Raw genomic sequence first — 23,087 nt, 5'->3', positions numbered from 1 at the left:
TCCCCTCTCCAGGTAAAAGGGTACAGGGTAGGGGAGGTGCTGGACTGGTCTTTTCCAGCTCTAACTTCTATGATAAGTGATCCCAGTTACCTGGGTTACTGGGCGGGGAGTGGAAGCAGAGAGAGCCGGTCCTTCACACTGACTTTCAGTTTTAATGTGAGCAAGTTTAATCAGTTTCTAGGCACAACCCTCCTTTCAAGTTTCTGGAAACATCTCAAGGGAGAGAATAGCACTAAGAAACACAGAAATCTTTTCTCTTCTCTGCAGGCATTTGTCACAGCGCCAGTTCCTAAGTGCACAAACTTTTGGCAGGACGAATCACTTTGATATACTTTTCCCAGGGTTCAAAAAGAAAAGATAAACAAAGAACTTGTGACTTCAGGAGGAGCAAAGGTAGCTCATAACTTCGGGAGTTTATGAGGTAGCTCATCTTCTTTACACTTCTGGCAAAGGGGAAGGGAGTGTCAGTAAAAAGAAATCACCTTGTTAGTGGTTTCTGAGACTGCAGGTTTGGCGCCTGAGGGCACATTCTGTGACAGTGTGCTGCTATTTTCCACAGGTAAAGCAGAGGGCAGCTTCTGTCAACAAAGGTTGACACTCCAAGGTTTTGTTTTGGTTGGCTTTATTCCTGCCTTTTAAGGCACAGAAAAGTATTAATCATTTAAAACTGGTTTTCAAAAGGTATTTGAATTTTCATTAACCATATTTCTCAATGAGTTAAGTCAAACAGGAAAGGCAAAATACAGTTGACGTTTCCTTTGGATTTTATGAGAACAAACAGGATGTGTCTAATTAAAACTTCATTTTTAGTTTATTTGGCAATTAGTTTATTTCTTCTAGGATAAGAGTGTTTATAACCACATGAAGATTCAAATGTTGAAGAACAAATGGCACAGAGATGAGGATGCATTTAAATATTAGCCTATGTTTATTCTATTTCACTTTTCTGCAGCTCTAAGACCTGTCCCTCACCAGCCAGTCTTGTATCACCCCATTGAGTAAAACACATTTTAAACCATCAGAGTGATGACTTTTGGATAATGTACTTTTCTGGATATGTGACAAGAATTTGAGATGTAAGAAATAAACATTCATCTTCAGTTTTTGATAGAATTGGATTAGGGCCAACAAACTATAGCCCAAGTCAAGTGTCTTCAATGATGCTGCACCAGTGATGTCATAATTGGAGCTAAGATTAGGAGACCTCACAGGATCTCAGTTCTTACACTCACTAATTTCTTAGTCAATCTTATTGCTTTCTTCCCACTCTCTGTCAATTGATGAAAAATCAGAATATTGCCTAGACTAATGGGAATGTGGTAATATCTGGCTCTGTAGATGGAGAGTGGAGGAAAGGGAGGATTAATCTCCATGATCTTCTAGTCCCTTGCTGCAGGTGGGCAAAGTCAAACAGAGGTAGTGACTGTCCCAGACTAACCCTACTTGGCTGCATCCTGAAAGGTCCACTGTAGCTAGGCTCAGCTCTGCAAATGCAACACTCTAATCTTGCTTGTTTTTTCAACTGACCCAGAGTGATCAGCTTCTATAGACTGACATTGGCCAAATACCCACAAAACTGATTTAAAATACCGATTTATTAAATTTTATTTTTTTTTTGAGACGGAGTCTCGCTGTTGCCCAGGCTGGAGTGCAGTGGCGCGATCTCGGCTCACTGCAAGCTCCGCCTCCCGGGTTCACGCCATTCTCCTGCCTCAGCCTCTCGAGTAGTTGGGACTACAGGCGCCCGCCACCACACCCGGCTAATTTTTTGTATTTTCAGTAGAGATGGGGTTTCACTGTGTTAGCCAGGATGGTCTCGATCTGATCTCGTGATCCATCCACCTCGGCCTCCCAAAGTATTGGGATTACGGGCATAAGCCACCGCGCATGGCCCCAATTTATTAATTTACAGTGATAAATATAACTCCCAAAGGCTCAGAGTGGCTCTTGGGCATGACCAGATCATTCTTTCCTCTGGAGAAAATGTTATGTGGGAATCTAAATTATATTTAAAGGGCAGCTTGGTGAGTTCAGTGTCACACAATGCTAATAGGATGTACCACCAAGCAGTGGTAACATGTGCTACCCAACTCCAATTCCATTTCCAGGAACAATTCTCAGAGTGGATAGGAGGGAATGTTATTTGCTCAGTTCTGACACTGTGATAAATTAGCCCCCTGGTGTTTTTCTAGAATTGAGATATATCATCACCACCCCTTAATGATAAGGCAATAACCTTTTAAGTATGTAATCAACATGTATTGAATAGAAAACAGCATTCTTTTCCTGAAAAAACAAAGTACTACAAAATACTCTAATGACTTTAACAGGACTTAGGGAGAATGTCCAGGGCCTTTGATTGAATTTGGGAGACAGCCTGCATCTTCTCTATGACAACTGGAAAATACAATGCTTCTTGGGCAACATACAAATTAGACTCCACTCAGAAGGAGTCTAGTGGATGAGCAGATGACATGGATGCACAGATGACAGTTCTGTGGATGAACAAATGACATGCTCATCCATAGTGTGCTCTCTTCTTGTATTCACCTTCAGAAAGTGACATTTTCTGACCTTGCTCCCCAATGTGGAACTGTGTCTTGCTATGCCTGACTGTTGTGTGAAGTTTTCCCACAATACCAGCCAAGAGTACAGGCAAGATGCTCTGTAGCCACAAATGCTCCTTGTGCTGATGGAACATCTTTCCCATCAGAACAATTTTGGTTCAATAATAAAATGAAGGGGACTCTAGAGGATCTTTCATGGCCAGCAAGGTGGAAGAGGTGTTTTAGCCCAGTATCTACTCAGGAAGTGGCATAAAAGGAGTTGAAACCATTTGCCAACATATTCAGGATAATAAGTAAGATTCTCATTTAAGGAATAACTTATTAAAGTCAAATGCATAATTGGGGAAATCCTCTCAATTTCCCCATCTCATTTCCCAATATCTAAAAGATATGGAGAAATAAATTATTTTTTATTAATAATAACAATAAATTATTTTTTCTTTTTCTCCCTGAGTGAATAAATTTGTTCATGGGAAATTTTGTCTATTCAACAATAATGATAGCAATAACTAATAGTTACAGAGCACTTAGTATTTTTTCTCAGATATTGCACCAAGAACTAGAAGAAATCTTCACAACTATTTCATGAGTTAAGTACTGTGACTGATTCTAGCAGGCATTAGGGTGAGAAAACTGGGCAAGTTGCTTAACTTCTATATGCCTCAAGTTCACACAGCTTGTAAGTGCAGTGCTATTGCTTAAGCCCAGGCCATATGACCATAGATCCTGCATTCTTAATTACTAAGCAGTGCCTCCTCAAAATTTCAAACTATAAATACTTGAGTAATTTGGCCTAACCCATTATAGCCATTAATATTGCCTCTATAAACTTGATTACCATGCTGAAGTTTTTTATTCCTTTTTCCTTCATGAAAAATAAGGCAAATGTAAAATTAGAACAACCTCCTGTTCTGTTTCTCAGTGAATGACTTTATTATCATCTCAGCCAATATTGAAATCCCCATTCCAAAAAAAAAAAAATAAGATCTCCACCACCCACATTACCTTCATTGTTAATATTTATAACATGTGGTGAAAGAGTTTAGAAATAAACTTCATTGTTCCAACAAAAATTTAAAATCTTCCAAATTGGCTAAGGGGCTCTACTTCCATAAGGTCTACTCCTTAAATGTAGGCCTCTTGCCAGTGTGTCTGACAAAGTGAGTCTCAAAATTTGAAAGTTATCAGACCATCTTTTGGCAGGTTAAAGAGAGTTCCAAGTGTCAAATGCACTCCTAGAACTGCAACTCCAAAAAATAGAATTCCTTCATATTTGTATATTAGAATTTAACCAGATGTTCATTATTAGGAAAAAGAGCCAAGTTAACTAAGCAAGGATCTATTCATACTCTACTATGAAAATTATTGAGTTTAATATAATTCAGAAGAACTCAAACAATTACTTTTAGAAATATTTAGCAATAATCCTCCAATATTAGCATTTAACTTTGTGAAGATGGGCCCCCAAACTTTAATTTTCAGTTAAAACAGCAAGGAAAGAATCTATTTTTTTTGACTTTTCAATTTTTCTAAGATGTTTCATAACAGTGAAAATGCATCAATGTCGGGGAGGATTAATCAGTGTTCAATCACCATATTACTGTAGGAAGTAGTAATCAGTAGAATCCTTTTCTGCTTTTATTTCTCTTAGGTTTTCAAAGGAGAACATCAAAGAGGGTTCTGTTTCAGGCATAATGGTCCCTTCTTTTTCTCATTAATCTCTTGATGCCTAGAAGCCCAAGAAACATAGACATTCTCCTTCTCTCCCATCTTCCAAAACCACATACAAGGGAATGAAGCTGTTCTGCAACATAATCTCACAAGACAATTGATGGTATCATACTGATTTCCTCTTGCTCAGTGTTTATGTATTCCCTCTTGTTCACCCATCTTCCTATCTCACTGAATTTGTATATATCCTTGTATTTTCAACCAATGATCCTATACTTCAAATACCTTCCATCTGTTTCAACTTTAATCTTGGAGGGAGACACAGCACCTTCAGAACAGACAAAAAGGAAGTGGGTACATATAAGTATTTCACATAAATAATCCCAATATATTGGTGTCATAAATGTAATCCCAAACATCTACCTAATGAGTATATTAAAGATTAAAACCTGTTCTCTGATTTTTCAATCTTTGTTTCTTCTTTCCTATTTGTTAGGCTGGGACATCATTAAGGTTATCCTTGAAGTCTAGAGAAAAAAATATTTTATCTTCTTCTTGTATTGTTCAGAGACTAGAAAGGAAGTCAAATACTTTAGCTCACCCAAATATAGCATTAATTCCTGCTGAGGAAAGTCTGATTGAGAAACATCCCCAGCTGGATACTCTTAGGTAACAATTTGTCTAGTCAGTTTCTTGGTAAACTAAATGTTTCAACTTTAGCAACACCTGCGCAGAGTTGCTTAATTTAGATCTTTTGAATCCTCCCACCAAAAAATAATAAAGAATCCAAGGAGTATGACTTAACCCTTTAGTTCAATTGAAAAAAACATATATTAAGTATAAGGATATGGGCACTTATGTCACTAGTTACAATAATGAACTGTTTCCTAAAATGCCCCTGGGACCTTACAAACAGAGCAGCAGCAGCAGCTATAATGGCACCAGTAGCCTCATGAGTAATGGAAATGGCACCTTAATACACATCTGGGGGCATTGACAAGCTTAGCACAGTCATTGAGGCCATTTACAGAAGTGGTGCTTTGGGAGACAGAGCAGGCTCCTACCCTTAGTGTCAGCAGAGAAAAACAGGCATCACCTCAGAGCAGAGATGTTATCAGAGTGAAAATTTTAAAACAGCAGTGCTACATGGTGGCCAAAAGGATTGGTTCCCAGATCATACATTCTAGACACTCCTTAGAGAAATTACGTGGGAAGAACATGAGGACACTGAAGTTCCCACAAAATAGGTGAAAATACAGCCAAAAATACTATTTTGAAATTGTAATTGTGATCCATTTTTTTTTTACCTTCAGACTAGTATGGACTGGGAAATACACTGACACTTTGTTTTAGTTATCTATTGCTGCATGAAAGCCTCCTGATATTTACTGGCTTAAAGCACCAACCATACTGTTAATTTTTGTGATTCTTTGTTTTGATTGGGCTTAGCTGGGTGGTACTTCTGCTCCATGTGATGCTGATTGGGGCTGCAGTTATCTGGGGTTCAACTGAGCTGGAATGTCCAAGATGGTTCACTTTCATGCCTGACAGTTGATATTGGCTCTTGGCCAGGAACTTAGCTGAGACTGTTGAACAAAATGCCTGAAAACAAGCTCTCTATGTGATTCGTGCACTTATTAGCTTGGCAGCTGGGTTTCAAGAGGAAGCAAACTCAGAGCTAGTGTTCTAAGAGAGGAGAAGCATATGCAGCCAGTATTCCCAAAAGCTTAGGCCAAAAACTGACACAGCATCACTTCCCTGTGTTCCACTAATCAAAGCAGTCACCAGCTCAGCCCAAGTTCAAAGGAGTGGAGAAACAGACTTTACCTGTGAATTTGTGGCCATCTTTCAACTGAATAACCTCTGTCCTTTGACTGGTTTCAAGGAAAGCTAAAACAGCCAACAGAGAAAGGTATTACTTACCACAAACTCAGATGGGACTAGGATGAGGGAGTAGGTGTCAATCAGAAACATCCTGGTTATGGTTGCCCCAGACTTCTTTTACATGTTTCAAACTCCATTTTTCAGATTCAGTCTGAACTGCGGCATTTATATGATCTTCTCCATTTCCTAATATTACACTGCTGAATGGAAAACACCTCTGTCAGGTCAGGAAACCACAATTCTTTTTTATCTGTTTCACTTTGCACTTGATGTTTTATACTTCCCAGTGTCAGAAGGAGAGAAACTAGGGCCTGTGCAGCCTTCTGAAGAATCATTGACTTCACATCAGATTCACCTGGGGTTTTAGAATCTCTACTCCCAGGCTATACTCCGGATCCAATGACTCAGTATGTCTGAGGGCATGCCTGTGTGCACACACAAAACTCTCCAAATGATTCAGATATGCACCATTCTGTTGGAACCACTCCTAAAATGGTTATTGTTTAGAAGTTAATTTAGGGTTTTTAAATTCTTTGGAAGGCTGTCATGAACAACTAATATATACGGAAGGCAATTTTCCTTATAATAGATCCATTTGCACAATTTCCTAGCTCTTACCTATACCTTTGTGATTAAAGTTAAACATAACCCCTCCCACATGATTTATCTTTGCCACAATCTCTTTTAAGTACCATTGGACTAATTGTGATGAAAAACTGAGGCACAGTCAAGGCTGGCTGTGTGAAGCTGAGACAGGGTTACTGATTCCTTTGCATGGCAGACAGGTGCTCTCCAGAGTCCCAGCCTGTTCAGAGCAGTTACACACGACATGATCAGCCTGCCATGGGGCCTGTATGCAAGCATGAAGCCTCTGGAACCAGCATCACAGTGCGCAATCTGCGGGATGACCACTCACAGGGCAGCTGAACCTAGGTACTGTGCCTTTGGAGTGGTGAAGCAGCCATGAAGCAGGCACCCAGCCAGCACTATGCATGCCAGCAGAAAGGAGAGAAATGCCCAGGAGACAAGGCAAATCCTCCTTCCTATAAAGACTGTCTGCATGCCTGCTTGAATACTGACTGCCTGGAGCAAGAAACGCTGAGTGGGCGGCAGAATCATGCCTCCTATGGGCTAATGTGACCATAATCTTTCTATGCCTCAGTTACCCTGGAGGAAAATAATGTCAGAGTCCTGGATTCCTCCTGGGGGTGCTGTGAAGAGTAATGAGATAGTGTCTACGAAGTGCCCTGAGGAGAGTTCCTCAGAAAACCATATAAAGACAAGTTGCATCATTAACGCCCATGCAGCAGGCCCACTGTCGGGGATTTCAAAGCCTTACCCCAACTCAGTTGAAGGACAGTGCAACTAAGACAGCCTCTCTAACTATACATGTCTAAGTCTAAACAGCAGGCTCACTCTAACTGCTGACATATTAAGAAAAAACAACACAATAACAACAATCATTGTATTGATCATTGGATGCTGCATTCATTGGGCAATCTCTGTTTTCTTTGATAGAAAGGCAGTAGCCCGCAAGCTTTCTTCCCTGAGCTGACAGCCATTTCTATAAAGCAATGTGTTTTTTCAGAGCAGCCTATGGTGACATAGCAACCCAGACATATGGTGTCATTATTTAGCCGACACAAATTTGACACTTAAGTGAATTTATTATATTTTGCTTTGCTCCTGGTGCCTGAAAGGCTTTGCCACTGTCTCCTCATAGAGCTTGTCACAGATGTTGATGTATTTTCCTCCTCCATGGCCAGGTTTTACTGTGGAAACTGATACAACTTCACGATAGAATTTCTAGATGAATTATTCACGCATTGCATGCTTTCTGCACACAGGGGCTTGGAAGAAATCCATACTATTCAATAAATGGTCTTTCTAATCCTCTTTAACAGAGCATTTTCTCCTGGTTTAAGCTGTTTCTATTATCGCCTTTGTAATCATAATGTTTTGGATAAAGTATTTCATAGTTGATAGCTTGGTAAAAACATTTACAATATTTCACATTAATGTGCAACAAAATTGCCCAGGCACTGGGATGAAACTGATCCATTCTAGAAACAATAAACCATATGGGCCAAATTCTCATCAGCTCAACTTTTGCTCACTTACACACACACACACACACACACACACCCCACCACCACCACCGCCACCAGCAACAACAAACCATGAAAACTTGAAGTCAATTCTACTTCCAGTGATTTATAGAACAATTCCTAAAATATCTCAATATTTGTTGTTTTCAACAGAAAAGGCCTCTCTTAATGCTAATACCATCTGTAGAGATGAGTTTTTAATTGAAAAAAATGTTAAACTTGATGGAAAGGAGTCAGATGAACTAATCACTGGCCTCTGAGAAAAGATTAATGAAACAAAAACATATCAAGCTTCTTTAATACCTGGAGAAGCCATAAGGATACCTCGAGTGACATTATGGGCTATGGTATATGGGAGTGAATAACCTTAACATGACACAGTAAGCCCATTGAAGAATTAAGAAGTAGAATTACAGTTTTTAAAGTATACTGACCTGTTGACCTTTAAGATTTAAGACTTTGCCTTGGGGTCATTTCTTGACCTAGTTTTTGTTTTGTTTCATTAGTTTTTTTTTTTATTCCCCACTGAAATAATTTTTTAACATTATTCAGTTAAATTCTAAGTGGTTGGAATGTTAAGTTCTTCCCTATCATTGTCTTACTTTTAATTTAATTAAATGCTTGAGAAGTACATGTTTTTAAATAAGAAATCTCTACTTTTAGAATTTGCTTTCTGTTCAAAAAGCACTGACATTCTGAATCGCTCCTAGAACAGATGGCAAAAGAATTGCACAAAAGCACAAAGGATGATGAAATTCTAGCTAATGATTATTATTATTTCAACAAATTCGGGCTAAGTGCAGTAGATTTCATTTACTACGCTTTGAGGTCCATCCATGCATAACTTCCCCCATGTGTTGTCTATGGCACCACTCTTTTCCCAGCCTCTCAAAACCTCAGCATTGGAGTCATCTTTGGCTACAACTTCTCACATCCCATATCCACCCCCCAAGTTCTGACAGTTCTTTCTTGCTTTGAAACATATCTTCTATTCAAATCTCTTAGTATTCCTCCACCTTACTCCAAGCTCCTGCTGTCTTAATTCGGATAGATATCCATGATATTTGTCCCATTTCATCTTCTAGTGCTCAGAAATTTCCCTCATTTGAGTCTTCCCCGTATATCATTACCAGGATAATCTTCCTCATATATGATTTTATTATATCTCCCCATTTAAGAATCCATAATAATTTTCTATTATCTAGGTTTATTACATGTATATGTGTATATATGCCATATATATCTATATCTATATCTATATCTATATATATATCTATATCTATATCTATATCTATCTATCTATCTATATATATATATATATATATATATCTCTGCCAGGCATAAGTACTTCAAAATATAAAATCATTTAATCCATATAACAACCCTATGACATAGAAACTATTACTTCTTCCTTTTTATAGATGAGCCCACTGAGACACAGAAAGGTTAAATAATTTGCCCAAGGTCACACAGCCAGAGAACAATGATGCCATGATTCAAATCCAGTCTGTGCTTTTAACAAATATACTATGCTGCCTCGATCTGGAATAACTAGCACCCACATGTTTTATATTTTTTAAACAGTTTTCATTTATTTCTCATTTGACCCAACCTTTCAGTCAGATGCTGTTCATCCCTAAATTCATCTTGTTTTATATCATTTTAATAAAAGGACTCATTTAAGTGGACTACTCTCCTCTGTGTATATATTTCTACCTCTTGTACCATCGCCTGTGATGTTTCTCTTGCCTGGGAGGCCCTCCCATTTTTCTCTCTTTATGTAACTTATATGTAACTCAGTTCCTTAAACGAGGCTCTTCTGACCTCACACGAGTCTCCTCCCTTCTTTATCCCCTCTCAGTGTGTGTGGACACACAGTCCAACTTGTCTACACTTTCTTTGCAGAGCCTCCTTCTGACTTCCATTCTTCTCTGAAGCTTCTCCCCCATTCTCACAGGCAGGACTTCTGTGTATGTTAACAGAGCTCTGATGACAACTCAGATGGTTGGTTTGTCCCTTGATTTTTACCACATTCCTCTGTGTTGGGATCACTTCACATGTCTACCTTCCCCTCACCATCAGATTATTAGTTCCTCAAAGGCAGGTGCTGCAAAACCTCTGCCTATGTCATAGCGTAGTAGGGAGTCAGGAAGTATTTTTAATACATCAGCATACAGTTCCATTTTGATTTCTACTTGTTGCATATGTGTACATATATATGTGTGTGTGTGCATTCAAGCATGTGTGTTTTATTTTCTACCAATATTGTAAATTCAATGAAGACAGATCTTGTTTCTATTTTCCTCGCATTTCTCATCAAATCAAGTACAATGTTATACCATCAATCCTCACTTAATGCTTGCTGTATGAATGGGTGAATTATTAAAATTACCCCAGGAAATGAAGATCTTTGGCTTGAATTGCCAAGTGTTAAAAATGGCACCACTCAAAAATATATAGTCAACCACACATTAAAAAGTACTAAGAATAACTCAATATTTCTTGTATGGAACAGTTGCATTTTCTTCTGAGAATCCATATGTTAAAGTCTCCCTCTGTATTTCCCACATGAGCACTTAAGTCCAGAACTCAGAGTGTACCTGGCTTCAAACCAAGTACATTAGTTATTTTGGAATTGCAGAATTAATAGTCATTCTCCCACTTGCAGATCTACCTCAAATAAAAATTGTATTTCATTTGGATTAAGAGTTGTAACTCATAAATTCAGCTACAGAAAGCTGCACCAACACAACTCTGTGGCACTTATCCCATTGCCGTGCTTCAGAAAAATACTAGCAATTATGATGATTCACTTATTATAAATAAAGAGAAATCTTTTCTCTCAATGCTTAGAATGTGGATATGGAATATGTATTTTACTTATTCTAAGAATCAAAATTGTATGGTGATATTGTGACTTTCAGGCCAAAAGCCAGAACCATATACAAATTCAGAAAACCATTTTGGCAATTCAAAGTTAACATCCAGATATTTTGTAATAGAGCCATGATATATCATTATCAAATGCCTCATAACTATTAAACACAGAACCAACAATAGATCCATTAGAAGGCAATTTTATAAATAAGCAAATATGTCTAATAGAAGACGTTATCTATCTTAATATTTATATTATGAAATATACCTATTATTAATAGATTTCTATTACCTTAAAAGCAAAAAAAGAGAAGAGAGTCAACATTTCTAGGACTAAGGGAGGCTCAGCTCTAAACGATGTGGTGTGACAATGAATTAGAAAACCACAGACTGAGAGACCAGCGGCTGAACAGGAGGGAGAAAGAGAGAAATGCACTTTTTCAAGTAGTTTTATTACTTAAGTTAGGTATAAAAAGAAAAGTCAAACAGCAACAGGCCTTTTACATAGCAGTTTTAGATGAGAATCAAATAAATCATGTCATATTTATACAACATGGAGACAACTGTTGACTTCCCATTTTTTTTCAGTCACTCCCTCACACACGGAATGTGTCTCCCTCACATGGAAGTTGGAAGCTCCTTCCATTCTAGAAGGCACTGACAGAGATGTGAATATGTAATATCCCAGTAATACAGTCATACTGAAAACTTGGATTTAATTTATACAGTTACCACTTGGGGGTTACCTCACATATTGTTTAAATCAAAGCTAATGGCTTTTAGTAACTCCAAGTTACTGCAGAGGTAGTTTGGCCATTTAAAAATAAGTGCTTCCATATACAAATGAGTAGATTTCCGCATACAAATAGTCATTTTAAAAAGCACTGGGGGACCAGTCACTCGCACACATTTATTGAGCACTGATTATGCAGTAAATAGGACCTAGACAAGGTGCTGTGGGTACAGAGAAAAATGTGATCCCAACCCTGCAGGAGCTCACAGGCCCACAGGGAAAACAAAGTCAGATAACTTTTAAAATAAAGATAAGTGCCTCAAATTCAGTATGTACAGAACACAGAGAGATTGCATATTACCTAAGGGATGAGCCTGGAAATGCTTCCTGGAAAGACTGACATTTGGTCTGAGACTTGCAGTATGAGAAGATAACTTCATTTACTACACATGATCACTTTGGAAACCAAATAAAATGGACACAGAGGAGGTGGTTTTACGATATGTGCCTTAGCAGGAATTAAGATCCAGGTTAGCTGTAAATACATATTGTGATGCAAAAACTATTTGATGAACCCTTTACTCTGTCTTGCACTACACTAAGGCATAGCAGAGAGTGCAAATAAGGAATAAGTGATGGTCTTCAGAGTCTATAATTTAATTAGAAAGTAAAAGTCAAACACGTGGCAGCCAAATAACAAGACAGGACACTAGAATCTTTAGCTGTTTCAAAGCCAAGTATGAATCACTTTCTATTCTTACCCAATCTTCTTTCCCACAACTTTTCCTGTTAATGATGTGTTTGCACAAGAGACAAACCACGCATAATTCTCATAAAGCTTTTTCATTTGTTTGTATATAAATCTAACAACGTCAAGAACAATGCAATTATCCTAATAGATGGACATAGCAAGAGACCAAACTTGGGTTCATATTTCTTCATATTTGTGGTAAATCCCATGCAGTCTTGCTTCATAACAAAACAGACCTCATGTTAGAGGCCATGTTCTTTCTCAGGACCAAAATGTCATCTTTATAGTTTTTATACAAAGTTACAGATGAAGAGGACTCAAAGGAGTCAACCACAACTTGAACATACACCAAGTTGAGGAACCAGATTTACAATGTAGTTACATAGCTATTCCTCCACTAAATCATATTCACTCGATCTGAGAAAACACCATTGGTGCATTCTTCCATTTAGTGAAGCAATTTCATTTCCCTGAGGAGTCGATCTCTTAAGGTTTTTTACTCCTACCCACAATGGGATGCATCAGTTTGCTCTAAGAAAAAACCATACAGGTAACTAATTGTACAAAAATGTGAATGTGGGCCTAAATCAACACTGCCTCTACTTGCCACCCACTTCAGCAATTTGTTTGACTCCTATGAGCCTCAATTTTGTCATATATCAGACAGGCACAATGATACCTACTGAATCATTACAGGGTTTACAGATTAGAGAGAAGGGACAACATACATCCACTCTGAAAGCAGATTAAGTCCCTGATTTGAAAAGCAATGTTAGGACAAATGACATGGCCACACAGAGCTGAAGTGTATGCACAGAAGGGACACTGCTGCTTGAAATACTGTCCACACAAAGGGGAATCTCCCTCGGCAGCCTTGAGAGCCTTGGCTACCCCTGCACCGCCCTTTCAGACTTGGGCTCATATCGGCTGTTGGGAAGAAATGATATTAATAATCTATCCATTTCCATTTAAAGAAATGCTAAGGTTCCCTAATATTTAATAGCCTTTCAAAAAGTAGTGACAATTATATTCCATATTACCAAATAGTGAGATATTGGTTTTTATTTTCAGAAATATAAAGTGATTATAATATGGAACATCCACTTTGCCAGTAGCTACATGAGCTTGGAGAGGTCCATGTAGGAGTACAAGTCACAAGAAACACAAGACACTGCTTCTTCTTTAGTTTTATGCTCTTCTCTCCCTCAGGTCAATTTCTCATCTATTGGAGGATACATGGGTATCCTCAGTGAACTCCCAATCCATCTCCTCCCGACTCCCACGTGGCAGCCTTCCTCTTTCCTTCTGCAGCTACTGGGATGCCTGACACCTACTACCATGCTTGAGGATATCCACTCTCCAAAGCCACTTCAGCTTCTCAAGCCATCCAGGCCCCAAGGCACATACCACATCAAAGCTGCATCTTGCCAAAATTGTCACAGTCTCAAGCGTTCATCATGTCACCCCTCCACCAGAGATCTCTCCTACTGAAGTGGAGAGAATTCCCCCACTGAGGGCCCTGGCCTATGACTCGGCTTGTGGTCGCTTCCCCTGGAACTGCGCGTGGCACACCACCTGCTGCTAAGTTGTGTGCAAAGGCCCTGTTGCCTCCCATCCTCTTCTCCCCGGGCCACAAAAGTGCTACCTCGTTCTGTTCCCTGGTATCTTCGACATTTTACTAAGAAAGTGAAAAGGCTCTCTTCCTTGTTTCACTTTGAGTCCTCTCCACTGGGATCTGGCACAATCCCCAAGAAAAATAAGAAGAGCACGTAGAAGATCGACAGGAGCGCCACACACATGAACCTGCCACTCTGCTTTCATTTAGGCCTTCATTCTGCAGCTCTTTCTCCACTTTAGGATAACTGCCTGAGGATGACTCACTCTTTCTCAGGAGGCTTCCTGGACTTCTTTCAAATAGCTCCCAGACAAGCACGTGACAAGCTTTGCGGATATGTTGGAATCTCAGAGAGTATATATTTTGAATTCAAGTGGCAGCCCTTGCTATAGTCATAAGCTAAAGATTTATAACCTACAGCTTCTTGATAAATTACTTTAATATGAAACAGTGTTGGAAATAAAAGAGTATTTTATTTTCGTAAAACTATATTTACTCCTCCTCCCCACACCTAGAAAGTATACACACACTCACATATACACGAAAATTCAGCCATCTTCTGTTCTCATAACCCTCACCAAAACTAAAATGTGTAATACTAAGACCTTTGTCTCAGAAATCCCATTATTCTATAAATGTGTTCAGGTTACATATTTCTAGCCTACAGAATTTCTGCTTACATTTCCTCATGGACAGAGCTTTCTGTTGCTCAGCTGATAAACTACGCTGGTTGTACTTATTCATGAGATTAATATAAACTATAGAAAAATGTTATTTACATACATGCCTATTTATTTTAATTATTAGCTTCAAGGATAATTTGTGACAATGCATTAAATTTTTCTTTGTATTACCCTGAAATTTGTATTTCAGAAGGCTATTGGCAAGGCATAGGAAATGAATTCAGAATCTTGCCATGATGAGAGAATATATACTAATACTATTTTTTAAAGTTTAATACAAATTGTTTCTGTATTAGTAACTTAAAGCATTTGCAATGTTACAAGATTTTTCACTGCATGCACAAACTGAGAAAGAACTTCTAAACATATTTAAGAATACTCTTCAGCAATTTTAGTGGCTCTCTCAGAGTGACTTCATTAATCATTGCTTCACTCAGGTAATTTATTTTTCATGCTGCTCCAATGAATTCTCCAGTTGTCTTTAATCTTTCCCAGCATCTTCCAATTGCTCAACTTTGTTCTTATCTCTGGGGCTGTTCTGTTTCTCCTCCGTCAGACACAAAGCAGCACACAACTGAGCGATCGCAACAGCTGAAAGAACTACCTGGCCAGAGCACATGCAAGGCAAACGCAGAAATCACTCTCTAGAGCAATGGGAAAGTCTTTTTTGAGGAGATTTAACATATTTTCTGTAAGCTTCAGTACACTTGGAACAGATAAAAATCTATGTATATAGCATGTGTGAGAGAAAGATTTCAAATAAATTACCCCTAGAGGCATAAGCATATGTTCAGCTATAGCTTTAACAATAGTTTCCAATTTGATTCATTCCCAGTGAGTTTTGCCATGAATTTTAATGAATCCTTCCAACTTGCATGTTGCAGTTTCTTTTTTCACACATAGCTAATTGCCCTGGAATCAGATAGTTAAAATTTTGTTTAACCTTAAGCCATTTTTTAAATAATTCTATCTTTCAGGTCTGAAAGTTTCATTTTGCTGTTAACAGACATAACCTAGGCAAATCCAATGTCATTTATAAATTTTACGTTTTTTATATATCAATATATAAAAAACAAAAAATATTTTTGGTATCTCGTAATTAGATGTTTTATTGTGAGACATTGATACTGAGATACAAAGAAAAATAATTATTCAAGAAGGGAAAAAAGCTATGAAAACAGTTTATACAATTGCCAGATTGAAGTGTCAAGAGAAGCAAAAGGTCTTAGGTTTACCATAGGCACATATAAACAACCCAGCCAACAGCAATTCTTTGTTGAAACTCTAGGTATTCATGACTCAAATATGAAATAACGCATCTTTCCTTGATGGTTGGTTTCTAGAAAATAAAAAATGTCCAGGGTTCCATAGTTCATATTTCAGGCATCATTCTTCTTAATGCACAAAGATTTTGCAAGGCTGACCTAGATGTGAGGTCTTCCAGACCTGTGCTTTACCTTGTGGATGGGTATGCATGTTTTACAACATTCTTTCAAATGTTTACTTACAAAGAAGGACTTGCAATATCTCCTACTTTCAACTCAGAATTGGACATTTTCAAGCATGCCTATTCTGCCTGCATTCCAAAACATGGTGTGGGGCTGGTACTGATAAACCTTGGATTCTTCAATTTCCTCTAATCAGAACAGAAACAAAAGAAACCCTCTGTCTTATTCTACACTATTTCTTGTGATCTGATTTTCCATTCACTTGCAGAGTGTCAGGGCACTGGGGGAACAGTGAATTCTCCATGAGTAAGCCCAATTTGACTGCTTTTCTCCTGGTCATCAGCTCAATGTTCCACACCACTTAGCGGTTGAGATCTAAGGAAAGCTCAGGCATGAAGCCTCAACACTATGTTTCTTGCTCTAAACAGCTGCTCTGAAGTAGCTGGAAAAGTCAGGGAGACAGACACAGCTTATCAGAGTTGCTCCTCAGTCTAACAAATGGTTCCATTGTGTGGAGCACTCTCAATGCCTACTACTTAAAAAAAGGAAAAACATCTATTTAATCAGTGTGGTGACCAAGGAGGGAAGCAACGGCATAACCACCAGGGTCTTGCATGGGGTGCACCAGGAAGCCCATGTGTCATGGCTCATGTAACGAAGGACCTTGGATTTAGACTTTGGACTTGATCCCTGAATGAGGTTATCCATACAGTCACTTTTAGTGTGGTCCACATAAAGGTGAATGTGTTAAACATAAACATTTAAAACATCCTAAACATTTTAAATGTATTTAGTATATTTTAAATATACTAAACATTTTTCTGTAGCCTTGTCTGGATGTTTATTTTAAGATACTGAGAGAAAAAAAATAAATACACAGCACTTACTACATTCAAAACGCCATTTAAACACTTAATGTGAATGAAATCACATATTCTTTATAGCCATCCTGCAGTAGGGACTGTTACTATCCTAATCTTACAGATGAGTAAACTGAGGCACAGAGAGCTTATGTAATTCATCTGAGGTCACACAGCTAGTAAGTTGGCAGGGACACCCAGTTTCTAACCCAAGCTCCAGAGTCTATACTCCAGACTGCTATACTCTACTGCCCCCTCTGAGAGGTGGGCTCTGAGAGGCCCTGGCAACTGTTCCTTCTCTTATGCTTTATCCTGAACCCAAGGCAGATTACTCTCAGGCTCCAGGTGCTTCCCTTGGTAGATATGGCTAGAGGTCCATGTAAGGTTAGTTAGGGACGCCACTTGAACCACAGCTTGATTGTTGTAGGGCTCCACTTCTAGCTTCTAGGGTAAGTTGTCCTCAAAGCATCATCTGGACAAGCAAGTTAGCCAGCACATATGGCAGTCACTCTCTCTCTGGTTTCGTGGTCCCACACTCTCTCTGTATACTCCCACTGTCCCTCCCTCCCAATGCTATGGCATCCGATATAGGCATTTATTCCTCATTGGCATATTTCCTCCTCAGAGGAGTTTCCTCCCCAGAGAAGTTAGAGTCCATATTAGTCCATTTTCACACTGCTGTAAAGAAATATCTGAGACTGGGTAATTTATAAAAGAAAGAGGTTTAATTGACTCACAGTTCTGCATGGCTGGGAGGCCTCAGGGAACTTACAATCATGACGGAAGGGGAAGGGGGAGCAAGGAAACTTCTTCACATGGCAGCAATGATAGAGAGAGAGACAGAGAGAGAGAGAAAGGGAGAGAGAGGGAGCTCCAGGGAAACTGACACTTTTAAACCATCAGATCTCATGAGAATGCCCTCACTGTTAAGAGAACAGCATGAAGGAAACCACTCAAATGATCCAATCACCTTGCACCAGTTCCCTCCCTCCACATGTGGGGATTACAATTCAAGATGAGATTTGGGTGGGGACACAGAGCCAAACCATATCAGAGTCTAATCAGCATGAGTTCGATCATTTTATCTTATTTAGGGCCATATATTATAGTGAACACATAGGAATTTTTGAATATGCTTATGATATTCTTGATCGGCACTAGCAATCTCTGATTTATCATATATTTTAAACCAAAACAGACCATCCAAATCTAAACATAGCCTGCATTTTACTTCTTCTTTCCCAAGATGTGAAAATTATAACTTATTTTTCAGAAAATTCCCCCAAACATAGGCAGACACTTGGTCTCCTTTTTCCTCATTTCCACAAGATAAAATAATTACAAGCAGAATTTTCAGAAATCATGTATGCATCAGGAACTCGGTCTTTCTTTTTGGTATCAGCTTGTTCAGAGGTATTCCTTTTGAGAAAATCTAGTGGTTGTCTTGATATCAGCAACTTCAAACCTTTTTCTTTACACAGACTATGACATTGTCATTGAATATGGTTTTGGACCACCATGTGAGCAAGTCATTTTAAACAGTTTTTAACATATCCTGTTACTGATGAGGAGTCAAATTTCATATATCAAGCAGTATTAAAAATAGTTATTTCCAGTTGACATGTATCAAGAGATTTTTTCTATGTTCAGACCATCTGACCAAGTAATTCTACTTTGGGGACTCTGTCCTAGAGAAATAAACTGAAATAACAGAAAAAGCTTTATGCACAAGGACAGCAATCCAACCATCTAATCCTCCCCCAATACAGGAATAGCTAATAAACTATCCATTTAAATGAATATTTTATAGCTCCTAAAATATAAGTGATGAAAATTTTATAAAATGTAATACTTTTCTCATTAAATGGAAAGATAAGACAAAATTATATGTATAAGTTAATCACACTTATGTAAAAATCAGGAACTCTGCAGGACAAAAATAATAATAATGATGAAACAGAACACACTAACTCACGGAGAAAGTAATTTTGACAGTAATTTTAAAAGACTAGTGGGATTCAACCAAAAAGGAAAGAAACAAGAGTACTCTAGTTCTAGCCCAAGAAGCTCTAGAAGAGCCTTTGGGCTTTCATATTCTTTTGTATAAGGCTGTACTCAAAAAATACTTATTAAATTAATGAATGATGGGAACAGATATTCACAATTACCTAGTATGTTGCAGCATACAAAATTGCTGATATTTAACCATTTCGACCAATAAAAACGGCAATTTTACATGATTCAACTGAATAGAGTCAATGAGCCTCTAATACCACATGTTGCACAAGATCCTGGTGAATAATCTGTACCTTCAGCAGTCACTTCCTCTTCCCCTTCTTCTCTCTCCCTCCTTTCTCCCTGTGCTGGCCAAATAATCAGCCTGAAGAAAATCTAGCTGGATATTTCACACAACATTGCGAAAAATAAAGATAATATCTGTCACTCGCTTTTTCTCACATTGGTGTCATCATATAGACATACTTCAGGGCTTAAACGGAGAAATGCGTAAATCCTAAGCTTTCTTTGTATATAATTACATGATATCTTGGGATAATAGACACCGATAAGTCTAGTTTCCCACACCTGGCCACCTAAAGAGAAAATCACCAGACAATTTAAAAGATATAGGGCTTTTTCCATTACAAAACAATCAATGATTCTTTTTCCATATCCTGAGAGCACTCCTGGTGGTCTTCAAATTTATTTCTTTTCATATGTGGAGAGAGGGAAATATTGAATGGAAGCTCCATATTTTGCAAAAAGAGCACTTTTATTCTCTATTCACTTCTTTCATCACAATCCCCTTCCCCACTCCCAGGCAACTAAGTAGAAACATCATAGGTAACCATGAGGGGAGTCAACCCAGAGAGACCTGGAACAGATTAAAAACAGTTGAACAACATTTCCAGTATTGCAAGCAGTTCTTTGGCAACACTCTACTAAAAAACATTGTTTGAAAAATAATTTATTTTTCACTTTATCTTTTTTTGTCCTTCCACTACAAAGAATAAATATTTGACTGTGTCTAATCACCCTTGTAGAATCCTCTATGTACCATTTTTTTACTTTACAAGAGTGCGAAAGTAATGCATATTCATTAGAAAACATACTTAAGAACTCATACAGCCATTTTGTTTTTCACTTTCAGTACAGCATTCAATAAATTACATGAGATATGCAACACTTTATTATAAAATTGCTTTGTGTTAGATGATTTTGCCCAACTGTAAGTGTTCTCAGCATGTTTAAAGTAGGCTAGGCTAACACCTATGATGTTTGGGACATTAGGTGCATTAAATGCATTTTCAACTTATGATATTTTCAGCTTTTGATAGGTTTATTGGGATGTAACCCCATTATAAGTTGAGAAGCATCTTTGTATAAATAGTAAAATAAATATGTAACCCTGTCTAACCACCTTTGTAGAATACCTTAGCCGTTTCAGAATTTCAGAGCCCTCTCAGCCTTAGCCTGATTGTTAAAATCAGCATCCTGGGCCAGGCACGGTGGCTCATGCCTGTTATCCCAGCACTTTGGGAGGCCAAGACAGGCGGATCACTTGAGGTCAGGAGTTCAAGGCCAGCCTGGCCAACATGGTGAAACCCCGTCTCTACTAAAAATACAAAAATTAGCCGGGTACGGTGGTGTGCGCCTGTAATCCCAGCCTCAGAGAGGCTGAGGCAGTAGAATCTCTTGAACCCGGGAGGTGGAGGTTTCAGTGAGCCGAGATTGTGCCACTGCACTCCAGCCTGGGTGGCAGTACAAGACTCTGTCTCAAAAAAAAAAAAAAAAAAATCAGCATCCAAAAAAGGGACATCTGTTCATTCACTTTTTTTTTTTTTTTTTTTGAAAATTGAGAACATGAGCTAGGACAATTATTCATGAGAACTGCTGAAGTAATACAATTAATATGTTTCCCTCAGTTTTATGATGTCTCTATAACCAAGTGACAACTATATAAGATGACTAAAGAAATCAGTTGGCCAGGCGCGGTGGCTCACGCCTGTAATCCCAGCACTTTTGGATGCCGAGGTGGGTGATCACGAGGTCAGGAGATTGAGACCATCCTGGCCAACATGGTGAAACCCCATCTCTACTAAAAATACAAAAATTAGCCAGGTGTGGTGGTGTGTGCCTGTAATTCCAGCTACTCAGGAGGCTGAGGCAGGAGAATCGCTTGAACCTGGGAGGCAGAGGTTGTAGTGAGCCAAGATTGTGCCACTGCACTCCAGCCTGGGTGATGGAGCGAGACTGTGTCTCAAAAAAAAAAAAAACAAAGAGGAAAGAAAGAAAGAGAGAGAGAGAGAGAGAAAAGAAAAGAAAGAAAAAGAGAAAGAAAGGAAGAAAGAGAAAGAAAGAAAAAGAGAAAGAAATAAATCAACTGAATTGTAGCAGGATGAGGTCTCAGAAAGTTTACAGTATATTCTGTCCTGCTTGTTACCAAGCTGACAAAGTTCAATTTGTAAGTTAGTCTGATATTGTAACATTTTGTTAGAGGAGCTAAAAAAAACCCTTTAAAAATTACTCACTTCTAGAAAAGTATAAACTCTGTACTAAATACACACCTGCTTTCAGTACCTATGTAAGCCAGACAATATCAATTTTTTTGTGGGAAAATAAACTAACCTAACTTTTGCCAACATTTCGTGTACATTTTTATGTTTTTGTTGTCCAAAGACAGATGTGAGTTTTAATACAGTTTACCCATATAAGGAGACAAATTGAGCTTCAAATCTATCCAGGAACTTACTTCATTCTTTTGTTATCCGGTTGCTTTGTTTGGATTAAGACTCAAGACAAAATGAAAAGTATGCAAAAGACATTAAGATTACTGTAATCACCTGAAGATTTGTCACTGTAAAGTTACCTTATGTTCCACCTCAAAATGTTTTAACTTCGTCATTCATTTTATGGCAAACAAACTCTCTAAAACTTGTCCAGTGCTCTCTTAAGGACCTTATTTAAACCTAGTGTGAGTCTTTTCTCAATTAGCAATTAGGTATCTAAAGTTTTTATTGTTAACTTGGTAATATATTTTTGAATTATAAAATCAGAGGGAAGTAGTTGGGAAAAGGACTGGAATAGGAGGCATGATTCCCAAGAGCTAGTCTCTGTGTTTTATCATGACCATGTGCTTTACCATTATCAGGGCCTCCGAATACATAAAATGAAAATGTTCTGTTAGATAACTAACTACTAGTTTGCTTCTGCTTTTTCCTGCAGTCCTTTGACCTATTTGGACTTCAGTTTCCTAAAGAATATAATGAAAATGATAACAAAATCACATGAATTCTAAATTGACTTCCAATAATATGATTTTAATTATATTTTCAATTGTGGATATTATCAATGCATAGAAATTTACATGTTCTAAAAGATCTGATATAGCATGTCATATGTTTTTATTAAGATATAAAATTGTTAAGAATAAAATTAGAAAAAGCCACCTTCTGGAATTCATACTAAAATAAGACAAAGCAAATAAGATTCACCATCTGTCTGGTAACTCACCTGACAAGATGGTTTTCAAACATGGTGCTCCCTTGATTATCAGTAACACAACTAGTGTATAAAGAAAGGTGTAGGGCCAGGCGTGGTGGCTCATGCCTAGAATCCCAGCACTTTGGGAGGCCAAGGCAGGCGGATTGCTTAAGCTCAGGAGTTTGAGAGCAGACCAGCCTGGGCAACATGGTAAGACCCTGTCTCTACTTAAAAAAAAAAAAAAAAAGGTGCAATCTCATCCAACAGCTGGAGAAAATTATGAATCAGCAAAAGGGTGAACTATCTGGTGGTCTAGAAAAATCTAAGATTATTATATTTACACTAGTATTCAGGGAAAAATGATGCCCCAGTTCTGAAAGCTCGAGACAGAGATCTAAAAAGATAAATT

General features: G+C 38.2%; 1 protein-coding gene and 1 long non-coding RNA gene across 2 annotated transcripts in view, besides 1 other annotated feature; both read right to left on the bottom strand.

Annotated features, from left to right (window-relative positions):
* XKR9 (XK related 9) overlaps positions 1-23,087 on the bottom strand; it is a 396,467-nt gene that overhangs the window by 6,010 nt on the left and 367,370 nt on the right. The gene's annotated exons all lie outside the window — the stretch shown is intronic.
* Positions 218-719: an enhancer, noted in NCBI's record as "NANOG hESC enhancer chr8:71971312-71971813 (GRCh37/hg19 assembly coordinates)". NCBI's record gives its function as "activates a minimal SCP1, AML or CMV promoter by ChIP-STARR-seq in primed H9 embryonic stem cells {active_cell/tissue: H9 hESC(primed)}" and the evidence as "EXISTENCE:reporter gene assay evidence [ECO:0000049][PMID:30033119]".
* Positions 3,477-8,331, bottom strand: LOC124901960 (uncharacterized). The gene is made up of 2 exons (XR_007060961.1): positions 4,688-8,331; positions 3,477-4,566 (listed from the first exon to the last, which is right to left on the bottom strand). It is a non-coding gene; the product is annotated as an uncharacterized LOC124901960 (long non-coding RNA).

The sequence above is a fragment of the Homo sapiens genome, chromosome 8 (assembly GCF_000001405.40).
Source record: "Homo sapiens chromosome 8, GRCh38.p14 Primary Assembly".
In the NCBI taxonomy this organism is placed as follows: domain Eukaryota; kingdom Metazoa; phylum Chordata; class Mammalia; order Primates; family Hominidae; genus Homo; species Homo sapiens.
Note: the sequence above shows the minus strand (reverse complement) of the source record. Positions and strands in the feature narration are given on the sequence as shown.